We start from the raw sequence: 13,267 nt of genomic DNA, 5'->3' as shown, positions 1-13,267 counted from the left end.
TTTCAAATTTAGTTGTTATTCATGATGTTGAAATGTTAAGAATAATAAAATAATGTTTCTGAGACCTATTTTATTTTTCCTTAACTTTAGATTTGGTTTCAAAATCGGCGTGCAAAACTGAAAAGGTCCCATAGAGAATCACAGTTTCTAATGGCGAAAAAAAATTTCAACACAAATCTGCTGGAATAGATAGAAAACTAAACAAGTGAAATTATCTTCTAATTGCAGAGCATGAAGAATCAGTGGAAATATTAAGTGTTAAAATGTGATGTTTTCTTTCCTGCATTTAATCTGAATATTGTCATTTTTTCTGAAAATATATTGTAAATACTATTATAGCATGGTACATATTTGGGCACTTTTAGTTATAGTAAAGACCTTTTATATATATTTTAATAAACATTTTCAGAAAAGATTGCTATTTTTTAAGTAAGCCAAATTAATCTAATAAATTAGTTTGTTAAAATCAATAGACTCATGACTAAGTGATTCCACAAGCTGGATTCTAATTATAAAGTATTTCAAGTAAAATAATCTGAAGAACAAAAGTGTGAGTTGTTTTCATTAGTTTCTTCCATGCACATTTTGAAACATAATTATGCTTCACTATATTATAAATTATGATTTATTCATGAATCTTCAACTTCTCTTGATTTATAGCATAAAGCAGTGAGAATTTCTCACCATTTATCAGAACAAATTCTTACAGTATGTTAGTTTCAAGTTTTTTTTCCAAGCAAAGTCATTATGCCAAAGTAGAAATATACAAGCATCAGCTATCATATTTATACCATTGGTATTGAATTGCACAAAAGAAGTAAGCAGCAAATAAATGCAAAATTTTAAATAGTTTTCTAGTTTAATTTTGTACTTTACTTTCATTCATTAGTGATAGTGATCATGTAGCTTATATCTATTTCCAGTTTAAATGATTTCTAATCAACTGCAATATTAAGTTGACTGAGAAGGTAGGATAACTGACCCACCTTTTGTAAGTGCTCTGACATAGTCACTGGAAATAATCAAGGTGCTTTCTAAGTAACAAAAACTATGTGTTTTCATTTCCCATTTTCCCATTTTACCTGCCAATTAAAGATGGGGGGCTGGGCGCGGTGGCTCACGCCTGTAATCCCAACACTTTGGGAGGCCGAGGCGGGCGTATCACGAGGTCAGGAGATCGAGAACACGGTGAAACCCCGTCTCTACTAAAAAAATACAAAAAATTAGCTGGGCGCGGTGGCGGGCGCCTGTAGTCGCAGCTACTCCGGAGGCTGAGGAAGGAGAATGACGTGAACCCGGGAGGCGGAGCTTGCCGTGAGCCGAGATCGCGCCACTGCACTCCAGCCTGGGCGACAGAGCGAGACTCCGTCTCAAAAAAAAAAAAAAAAAAAAAAAAGATGAGAATAGGATAAGATATATAACAAGAAGGGAGCCCTCTCGGCTGGAAATCTGGGCATTTGTTTTCCAGTTAATGGAAGACTTCAGTGGGTGGTTTTTTTTTTTTTTTTTTTTTTTTGAAATGTCAGCTTAAGACTCTGACTTTGTCCACTGGAAGCCAAATTTCAGCTTTGTCCATTTGAATTGAATTCTCCCTTGCTTCTCTTTTCTTTCTGTCCTCTGTCCTTTCTGATGTCCCAGTGATGATCAAGGTGGAAGGTTCTCATTGAATTATTGAATCTATAATCACTATTTTTTATATATAAAAGACTAGAGGGAGTTTGCATATTATTTCTAAGGAAACGCAGCATGACTCAGATTTTAGAGCTTTTTAAAATTATTTACTGAGAGCACATTTGAGGTTGAGAGCTATGTGTCCCAACAATTGGTCAACAATAAGCGTGCTTATTCTATTCCACTGTTGCTGAGATGGAGAGGGAGGAGGAAAAGAAGGGCAACAGGGTAGTTAGGAAGAACATAGGCATTACATGTTTTCCAAAAAAGACTGAGCCACTTTTTCCAATATAAAGAGCTGCTTCCATTCATATAAAAATTGGAAGCACTATTTATGAAATGTATTAGTTCAAATTTATCCACAAAGAGTTTTCTTTGTTCTCCATTAGGTTATTATGAAATTATGTTAAATTGAAAGACTGGAAGTTACCAGGAGTAGGCTCTGGAGGAGTGGGTTGGAGGGGAATGTGTCACATGATGGGTAAGCTTTTATTTTAATTCCAAATTTATTGTCATTCTGTATTCTGCAAACAATATAAGCAGTATAGAAATAGAGTAAAATCCCCCTTGAATCTCATCCTTCAGAGATAACCATCATTAAACATCTTTAAGATCTTTTTGTGTATCACAAAAACATCTTTATATATGTACACACACACATATTTGTTGTTTTTGCTGTTATTTTTTAAAATGTGATCACACTTGATATTCAGTTTTGCGTCTCTCTGACATCCTGCCATGTCAGAATTATAGCTCTGTCTCCTGAACGTCTGCTTGGTTTAGGATAAGATTTCAAGTCTTATACACAATAAGAAAATATTCCACATTATTAATATTAATATTAAAGTATTTTTGAAGTAGTGCTTTTCATAAATTGAGATTTTTCAGAGTAATCATAGTTTATCTAGAATTTCTACAATTAAACCTAATTCCCAAATCTCTGAGGAATGTAAAGATTCTGTGCAAAATGATAGAATCTAGAAAAAAATGAAACACCATCACAGATATCGATTGACAACTAAGAATGCACTTAAGTTTTTTTTTAATTATAAAAACTGGCATACCTCTAAAAAGTCTGGTGAGGAGAGAAACATCATAACCCTAGACCATCATTGTCTCAGTATTTTCCAATGACAATTTTATATAACTGATTTATGTGGCCCTAAAATTCAATTTTATTTATAATTGAAATAAATTGTGTTTACAACTGAACTTATATATTTATAACTGAAGCTACATATGTATAACTGAAATCATTTATAATAGAAATGATATATTTATAACTGAAACATTTATAAGTCAGAAAAATTAAAACAAGAATTTATAATATTAAATAAATAACTATAAATGTAATATGCCTATTTTTTTATATTTTTTGATACTAATAACAATATAAGTTCTATTATAACTTTTGTGAAGCAAGTTCATAATATATAAGAATACTCAAGAAGCAGGGTAATAGAAAAGATTGCTAGTGTATTTCCCCTAAAATCTTTTTTAAAAATCTAAAGATAAAGGCTGATCTTGTTAAAAGAAATAATGAATCAGTAACATTTTTGGAATTACAATTGCTAGAAATTTGGAGAGAATATAATGATATTCAGGGGGAAAATTGGACTCGGGAAAAATCAAGCAAAATGAAAATGGAAAGGAAAACCCGAGATAGAATTATCTTTCCCTCAAAACACGTAGGCTCTAATCCACAGCTTATCTCTGTTCCTGGTAATTCTAGGCCTTTTGTCTCCATTAATGCTCAAGACAAGGTGAACAGTAGTAACAAATCAAGCTAATGCAGTCAGGCTAATACCTGGAGCGTCTCTATTATCTGACAACTGCCTAAATAAGGTTATTTGGTCTCCTGTAATGGCATTTGTCTTTTGTGAAGCCAGCCAGACAAAGCCCATCACTAAAGAGTGCTGCTGGAAACAATGGCTGTGTGTGCTGGTGGTCAACTTTTGAGTTAATCAGTGTTCATAGCCGCTTTCACCTCCTGCATCTTATCACACATCACACGAATGGCATAAATCTCCCATTACCAAACCCAGCACAGAGCATCAACCTGGGCCTTGTTCCTCCCAGCAGAGAGCTGGGAACTGCTCAATTTTCTCAATATGGAACTCAACTCACATTCTGACAAAGGGTGACTTGCTATCTCCATTTCACTGAGCCCCATAGGAATAAAACCCCCTCCAAAGTTAGTCTTTGGATACCTTTCATGGTCATTTTGACTGTTCTGACTCCTGTTGGAACATCAGTCCACAGCACAAGGCAGCTCCTGGTGGCTCTCAACACTCTACACCCCATTAGACTCACTTCTTCTGCCTATGCTTTAATCTTGGATTTCACAGCCTCCAGAATTGTGAGAAATAAATTTCTGTTGTATATAAGCTGCCCAGTCTGTGGCATTTTTGTTATAGAAGCCCAAATGGACTAAGTGTCCACCATGAGCTATGCAATATGGTTCTTCACATGAATATTCCCATTTAATTTTCACAGTCACTCTGCAAAGTGAATATAGGCAATCCACTTTACAAATAAGAAAACCTAGCATCAGATATTTTTATTATGATGATGATTCTTTTTTTTGAGATGGAGTCTTACTCTGTTGCCCTGGCTGGAGTGCAGCGGCATGATCTCGGCTCACTGCAACCTCCACCCGCTGGGTTCAAGCGATTCTCCTGCCTCAGCCTCCCAAGTACCTGGAACTACAGGCGTGCGCTACCATACCCAGCTAATTTTTGTAGTTTTAGTAGAGACAGGGTTTCTCCATGTTGGCCAAGCTGGTCTCAAACTCCTGACCTCAAGAGATCTGCCTACCGCAGCCTACCAAAGTGCTGGGATTACAGGCATGAGCCACCACGCCGGGCCTTTATTATGATTATTATTACCCCATTTTACAGATGAGCTGATTGAAGGACACAGATTAAATGACTTGATCATGGCCACACAGCTGAAGCAGCTCAGCCAGAATTCAGACCAAGTTCTGCCTGACTCCAGAGTTGCCTCTTCCTCTTAAGCCTTCCAGTAGATGGAGTTACTGGCTGTGATGCTAATAGCTAGAAACATGTACTACATTTTTCTTTTCTTCCTCCCTTTCTTCCTTCCTTCCACTTTTTTTTTTTGGCAGGGTTGGGTGGGAGTAGGGGGATGGGATTAAAAGTCTGAGTGTTTGATACCTAAAGTAATCAATAATTACTTAAGTCCCAATAATTTTTTGGAAATAATATTTTCTCTATATATAAATGGCATTTTGTCTAGATAATATGTACATCCTTACCTGTATAAATATTAAGCCTCATTAAGATTTTTTTTTTTTTGTATTTTAAACCTTATTAAGATGTAACAACAATCACTAGATTTAAGTCCTTTTTCCCTGAAATTGCCATCAGAAATTTGTGGAGGCCAGGCATGGTGGCTCACACCTGTAATCTCAGCACTTTGGGAGGCCAAGGCAGGATGATCGCTTGAGGCCAGAAGTTCAAGATCAGCCTGGGCAACATAGTGAGACCGAGGTCTACAAAAAATTAAAAAATTAGCCAGCCATGGTGGTTCACACCTGTAATCCCAGTACTTTGGGAGGCTAAGATGGGCAGATCACTTGAGGTCAGGAGTTTGAGACCAGCCTGGCCAACATGGTGAAACCCCGTGTCTACTAAAAATAGAAAAACTAGCTGGGCATGGTGGCAGGTGCCTGTAATCCCAGCTACTTGGGAGGCTGAGGCAGGAGAATCGCTTGAACCCATGAGGCAGAGGTTGCAGTGACCCAAGACCACCCCCCTGTACTCCAGCCTGGGCAACAGAGCGAGACTCTGTCTCAAAAAAATAAATAAATAAGCTAGGCATGGTGATGTGCACCTGCGGTCCCAGCTACTCAGGAAGCTGAGGTGGGAGGATTGCTTGAACTCAAAAGGTTGAGGCTGCAGTGAGCCATGATCATGTCACTGCACTCCAGCCTGGGTGACAGAGTGAAACCCTTTCTCAAAAAAAAAAAAAAAAAAAAAAATTTAGTAAAGATCTCAAATCAGCAATCTAACCTTTTACCTTAAGAACAACAAAAAAGAGAGCATAATAAATTCAGAATAATCAGAAGACAAAGATCAGAAAAACCATGGAGAAAAGTCAATGAAACCAAAAACTGATGCTTTACAAATCTTAATAAAATTAATAAACCTTTAGCCAGACTAACAAAGAAAAAAAGGAGAAGATACAAGTCACTGACATTAGGAATGAAAGAGGGGCTATAACTACAGACCACATCAACATTAAAAGAAGAATAAGATAATACTATGAACAACTCTATGCGCACATTTGATAGCTCAGAAGAAATAGATCAAATCTACAAACTACTAAAATCCACCCAAGAAGAAACAAATAACTATAACAGTTCTATACTTATTAAAGAAATGTGAAATAATAATTTTATACCTCTGAAAAGGTAAACTCCAGGCCCAGATGGTTTCACTGGCAAATTCTATCTAACATTGAAAGAGGAAGTAACATCAATTCTACACAATCTCTTTCAGAAGATACAAGAAGAAGATCACTTCTCTACTCATTTTATGAGACTTATATTACCCCGATACTAAATTAAAGACAGTAAAAGAAGGGAAGAAAAAAGCCCAAGTTCACTATCCCTCATTAACGAAGATGCAAAAATCCTCAACAAAATATTAGTAAATAAAATCCAGCAATACAAAAAAGAATAACACAGTATCACCAAGTGGGATTTACTTAGGGGATGACAAGCCTGGTTTAATATTTGAAAATCAATTAATGTTATCTACCATATTAATAGACTAAAGATGATAAATCACATTATTATACCAACTGACATTGAAAAGCATTCAATATCCATTGAAATGCAGTAGCCATTTATGATAAAAATTCTCATCAAACTAGGAATAGAAGGGAACTTTCTTAACATCTACAAAATATCTACAAAAAAAACCATAAAGCTAACATGATGTTTAATGGTGAAATACTAAATTCTTTCCCCCTAAGACTGGGAACAATGCAATATCCACCTTATCACTCCTATCCAATGTTGCCTTTGTAATTCTAGCCAGTACAATAAGGCAAAAAAAATGCATAAAGATTGGAAAGAAAGAAAGAAAGCTATCCCTATTCACAGCAACATGATTATCTATGTAGAAAATTCCAAGGTATCTACAAAAAGTGCCGAGATTTAGTGAGTTTAGCCAGGTTGCAGGATGCAAGATCAACATACAAAAGTCAATCATATTTCTATATACAAGCAACTAACAATTAGAAACTTAAATTTAAAAAAATAGTTCCCTCCAGAGCATGTACAGGATCTGTATACTGAAAACTACAAAAAGCTAATGAAAGAAATCAAATAAGACCTAAATAAACAGACAGATATACTGAATTTAGTGATTGTAAGACTCAACATGGTTGAGATGTCAATCGTCCCCACAGTGATGTATAAATTCAACACAATTCTCATCAAAATCCCAGCAGGATTTTTTGTTTTTTAAAAAATAATAGCATATGGAAAGGCAAAAGAACTAGAATAGACAAAACAGTTTTGAAAAATCACAGAAAATTTGGTGCAATCATACTACCTGGTTTTAAGATTTACTGTAACGCAGTAAAAGAAAAACATAGAATTCAACAAAATATGAAACATTTTTGCTTTTTGGAAGATACTGTTAATAGAATGAAAAAACAAACTATAAACTAGAAAATATTTGCTAATGGTATATCTGACAAAGGACTTGTATCCAGAATATATACAGTGTAGAACACAATCATAGGCTGGGTACAGTGGCTCATGCCTGTAATCCCAACACTTTGAGAGGTTGAGAAGAGCAGATCTCTTGTACCAGGACTTCAAGACAAGCTTGGGCAATAAAGTGAAACCCTTTATTGCCCAAAATTTTAAAAGTAGCTAGGTGTGGTGGCACACACCTGTGGTCCCAGCTATAAAGGAGGGTGAGGCAGGAGGATCACTTGAGCCCAGGAGGTAGAGGCAGCAGTGAGTTATGGTTGCACCACTGCACTTCAGCCTTGGTGACAAAGCAAGACCTTGTCTCAAACCGCACCCCCCCACACACACACACATTTGGTTCAGAAGATAAACGGAATAAATATGAACAAAAGGTTCAAACAGACACCTTATTTAAAAAGATATACAGATATCCCAGCACTTTGGGCGGCCAAGGCAGGCAGATCGCCTGAGATCAGGAATTCGAGACCAGCCCGGCCAACATGGCGAAACCCCGTCTCCACTAAAAATACAAAAAAATTAGCTGGGTGTGGTGATGGGGACCTGTAATCCCAGCTACTTGGGAGACTGAGGCAGGGAGAATCACTTGAACCCAGGAGGTGGAGGTTGTAGTGAGCTGAGATTGTGCCATTGCACTCCAGCCTGGGCAACAGAGTAAGACTCCATCTCAAAAAAAAAAAAAAAAAAAAGATATACAGATAACAAATAAGCATATGAAAAGATGTTCAACATCATTAACTATTAGGGAAATGCAAATTAAATCACAATGAAATACCACCACATACCTATGAGAATGGCTAGGGAGAAGGGGGGAAAAGCTGATAGTAGCAAGTTTAGACAAGAATGTGGAACAACCAGAACTCTCATCTATTGCTGGTAGGAATGCAAAATGGCACAACCATTATGGAAGACAGTTTGGCAGTTTATTATAAAGTTAAACATATGTTTACCATATGACTCAGTAATCCCACTTCTAGGTATTTACCTTCAAAACTCTACACAGATGTTTATAAGCAGTTTCATTCATAATCAGCAAAAACTGGAAACAATGGGTGAGTGCATTTATAAACCGTCATACATCCAAATAATGAGGTGCTACTCAGAAATAAATTTTAAAAAAACTACTGGTCCACACGACACATGGATGAATGTCAAAGATATGCTGAGTGAAAGAAGCGGGTCTCAAAAGGTTGTATTCTATAGCAGTCCACAACTCGCACATGTAGATGACACTGAACAAGTCCTAGCTATAAGGGTGAAGAACAGATCAGTGGTACACAGGATTCATGAGAGGGGAGGTGTTTGACTACAAAAGCGGCAGCATGAGGGAATTTTGGGGGAGGATGGAGTAGTTGTTCTGTGTCCTGACTGTGGTCACTTGAATCTATACATGTTAAAATTCCTGGAACTGTGCACCAAAAGATAGTTTTTGTGTGTGTGTGTATATATATGTATATATATACACATATATATACACATATATACACATATACATATATATATATACACATATATTTATAATTTTTTTTTTGAGATGGAGTCTCTCAAGGTTGCCCAGACTGGAGTGTAATGGTGCGATCTCGGTTCACTGCAACCTCTGCCTCCCAGGTTCAAGTGATTCTCCTGCCTCAGCCTCCCAAGTAGCTGGGATTACAGGTGCCCATCACCACACCCGGCTAATTTTTATATTTTTAGTAGAGACAGGGTTACACCATGTTGGCCAGGCTGGTCTTGAACTCCTGACCTCAGCCTGCCTGAGGTGATCCGCCCGCCTCAGCCTCCCAAAGTGCTGGGATTACAGGTGTGAGCCACCACACCTGGCCTATATACATCTTTTAAAAACTGCGCTGAGATACCATTTCTTACCTGTCACATTAGCAAAAATTTTAAAGTTTGACAAAGCATTCAGCTGGCAAGTCTGTGGGAAAACAGACACTTTCATATGTTGCTGGTGAGTATGCAAATTGCTAGAACTCATATGAAGGGAAATCTAATAACATCTAACAAAACTACATACATGTTTAACTTTTCATCTGGCAATGCAACTTCTGAGGGTTTACTCTAAAGAAACATTTCTGGCCCGATGCGGTGGCTCTCGCCTGTAATCCCAACACTTTGGGAGGCCAAGGTGGGCAGATCACGAGGTCAGGAGATCGAGACCATCCTGTCCAACATGATGAAACCCCATCTCTACTAAAAATACAAAAATCAGCCAGCGTGGTGGAAGGTGCCTCTAATCCAAGCTACTCAGAAGGCTGAGACAGGAGAATCACTTAAACCTGGGAGGCAGAGGTTGCAGTGAGCTGAGATTGCACCACTGCACTCCAACCTGTGCGACAGAGTGAGACTCTTTCTCAAAAAAAAAAAAAAAGAAAGAAAGAAATATTTCCAACAACACAAAACTCCTTATGCGTAAGATTATTCACTGAAGCACATTTGGAATTACAAAATATTAGAAACAACCTAAATGCCCATACACAGAAGAGTGGTTGAGTAAACCCTAGTACAGCCACATGATGGTATACTGCATAGCTGTACAGAAGCTCAGATGCCTCTACGAACTGTTGAGTGATGTCCAGCATACAAGCAAAGAAAAGTGCTAGAGAGTGTCTATATTGTGAAAAGAAGGAGAAATAAAACCTAGAGGTATCTGGTTATTTTTGAAAAGAGATATGCAGGAAGGATAAACTAGGAAACGAGATTGGTTACTTTAGGGAGTAGAGATATGTGGTAGAGATGGGAGCATAGGAACAAGGTGGAAGGGATGGGTGGGGGAGTTACACTTGCCTGCGTATATTATTATTATTATTATTATTATTATTATTATTGAGATAGGGTCTCACCCTATCACCCAGGCTGGAGTGCAGTGGTGCAATTGTGACTCATTGCAGCCTTGACCTCCAGGGCTCAAGCAATCCTCCTACCTCAGCCTCCCAAGTGGCTGGGACTACAGGTATGAACCTCCACATCCGACTAATTTTTGAATTTTTTTGTAGTAACAGGGTTTCACCATGTTGCACAGAATGTTCTCAAACTCCTGAGCTCAAACGATCTGCCCACCTCCCACCTCCCGAAGTGCTGGGATTACAGGCATGAGCCACCACCCCCAGCCTCTGCATATACTTTTAATGGTGTATTAATGTTTCACATACTCAAAATTAAAACCAACAAGTATGAAAGAAAAGAAATCCCTTAAATTTGAATATTAGCAGAAGCAATGAACTTGACATTAATTAAAATGAATAATAAAATGAATAATGCAAAATGATGCAAACACACTGAAGTGGGCAGAGTGCGGGAAAACCAACCCAAGTGACTTTTGCATACTGTGTTTCAACTATATACCCTCAGACTAAAGATAAAGAACTATAAGCAAATATTGAACTCTAGTTAGTAGGCTTCCTTTTTTTTTTTTTTTTTTTGAGACAGAGTCTCGCTCTGTCTCCCAGGCTGGAGTGCAGTGGTGCAATCTTGGCTCACTGCAACCTCCGCCTCCCGGGTTCCAGCAATTCTCAGCTTTCTCTACTGGGTGCGGGTGATGCAATTGGACAACACAAGGCTCATCTCTGGCCAATTTGGGAAGCCAGGAAGAGCGGGAGCCTGACTCTGAGTCTGTCGAAGACGTCCCAGGGAGGACTCTGATGGACCCAACTCCTGGGGTTGGAGAATCACTCCTAATGGGAGGGTTGGCTGGTACAGGGCCACCTTGATTGGCAGCCCCCTAGAACTACAGGCAGGGAGGAAAGAGTTCCTAAAAGAACTCACAGAGAGGAGACGTTGACAACAAAGTCATGGCTCTTTACTGCTTGTCCTTGTCATGGCCTCTTTGTGAAGTTCTCACTTCTGCTTACCCTTACCACCTGCCTACTAGGTGGGAATAGAAAAACTCCTCAAAAACAATAAAAAATAAAACTACTCAATCTACTTTGCCCCATGACAAGCTCCGTTGAGGGGCTGTAAGCCCTTGTGGGCAGGCTAGGCAGATCTGGGCCCACCGTCTTGCTTCCCCTCACACTCCTAGCATAGGAACTTGCCTGTAGTGTCAGCTCAGTGTTTGCTTAATGCTTCCAATACCTTCCAATAGGTCATTTTAATTTGACCCAATAATTTGTCCTCTGTGAACCTTTCAGGGTGACTAGTTCTTAGGCAGTCAATATCTGAATATATCTCAGTCCCCAAACCCCATTTTAAAGGAAGGTCAAATTTGTTATGGTTACCTTATGTATAGCTTAGTAATAGATGAATACATAATTGTCACCACTAAAAATCTTCCTGGGCCGGGCATGGTGACTCATGCCTGTAATCCCAACACTTTGGGAGGCTGAGGCAGGCAGATTGCTTGAGCTCAGGAGTTCAAGACCAGACTGGGCAACATGACAAAGCCCTATCTCTACAGAAAATACAAAAATTAGCCAGGCATGGTGGCATGCACCTGTAGTCCCAGCTACTTGGGAGGCTGAGGTGGGAGGATTGCTCGAGGCTGGAAGGTCGAGGCTGCAGTGAGCCGTGACTGTGCCCCTGCACTCCAGCGTGGTTGACAGAGTGATGAGACCCTGTCTCTCTATATATTTAAAATAAAATAAAAATCTTCCTAGCTAGAATGTCGGACATTCTGGCCTTTGGTGGGGGCACTTCAAGCCCTAAAATGCCATCCTTCTATGAGCCGACATACCATACCCAGGTCCTTCTTGAGGAGCATCGTGGTCCAGGGGACCCACCTTGTCTCGCAAAAGGCTGAGAGAGAATAGTTATACTCTAGGCATCTGTCAGAAGTTGGTTCTTGAACGCCCTTCCCCTTAAACACTCATCCAAATCCAGAAACTCTGAAATATAAGTGTGCATGAGCATCACGTGAAATACATATTGAAAATGCAGATTCCTGGAGACTCTGGAGGAGCAGGGCGGAACATGTGAGGAGCTGAGGGAAAAGCATAGGAAACAACAAGTACAAAGGCCCTGAGGCAGGAAAGAGTGTTCCAGGAATGATCAACAAAGTGAGTAAAAGGAAAATGGGCAGGAGAAGAAGGAGCAAGGGCAGGAGGGGCCGGGCCTTAAGTGGGATAAGGAGATTGGGTGTTTTGTTTTGTTTTGTTTTGTTTTGTTTTGTTTTGTTTTGTTTTGAGACAGAGTTTCCCTCTCGTTGCCCAGGTTGGAGTGCAGTGGTGAGATCTCAGCTCACCACAACCTCTACCTCCCGGGTTCAAGTGATTCTCTCGCCTCAGCCTCCCGAATAGCTGGGATTACAGGCATGTGCCACCACGCCCAGCTAATTTTGTATTTTTAGTAGAGATGGAGTTTCTCCATGTTGGTCAGGCTGGTCTCGAACTCCTGACCTCAGGTGATCCACCCGCCTCGGCCTCCCAAAGTACTAGGATTACAGGCATGAGCCACCGTGCCCGGCCGGAGATTGGGTTTTTATCCATGTGCAACTGGAAGCCACTGAAGGTCGTATATGGAGGGAATAATGGATCAGATTTTCATTTCAAGTAAACACTCTGGCTGTTCTGTAGAGATGGATTATTGAGGAGCAACAGCAGGCAGGAAGACCAGACAGGAGACGTCACTAGAGGTGCGGGCCAGAAGGGAAGGTGGCCTGGCAGGGGAATGGATTTGGAGCAGGACAACTATTGCGTCTGTGAGGAGTCTGAGTGCTCACCTCAGTCCTGGCACATCTTATTGTCCCTGTTGTCATTTTCTTCTGTTCCAGTTATTTCATCCCTCATTCCCTCCCCACATTTTTTGTTGTTGTTCCAAAACGAAAATGTTCTTTTTATTGTAAAAATAAAATATTCTCAATATTCAAAATTAAACAATACAGAAAATTAAAATAAATTAATCACCAGCAAT

At 39.2% G+C, this 13,267-nt stretch overlaps 1 protein-coding gene across 9 annotated transcripts in view; it reads left to right on the top strand.

Annotated features, from left to right (window-relative positions):
* HESX1 (HESX homeobox 1) overlaps nucleotides 1-548 on the top strand; it is a 29,778-nt gene extending 29,230 nt beyond the window's left edge. For all 9 annotated transcript variants that reach the window (NR_164757.1, NM_001376059.1, NM_001376058.1 and 6 more), the window contains one exon: nucleotides 91-548. Coding sequence is in view for 8 of the 9 variants with exons in the window: in NM_001376059.1 (NP_001362988.1) it covers nucleotides 91-189 (99 nt within the window). In the remaining variant the exon portion in view is untranslated. The remainder of the gene's footprint in view (nucleotides 1-90) is intronic.

Source organism: Homo sapiens, chromosome 3 (assembly GCF_000001405.40).
Source record: "Homo sapiens chromosome 3, GRCh38.p14 Primary Assembly".
Lineage (NCBI taxonomy): Eukaryota > Metazoa > Chordata > Mammalia > Primates > Hominidae > Homo > Homo sapiens.
Note: the sequence above shows the minus strand (reverse complement) of the source record. Positions and strands in the feature narration are given on the sequence as shown.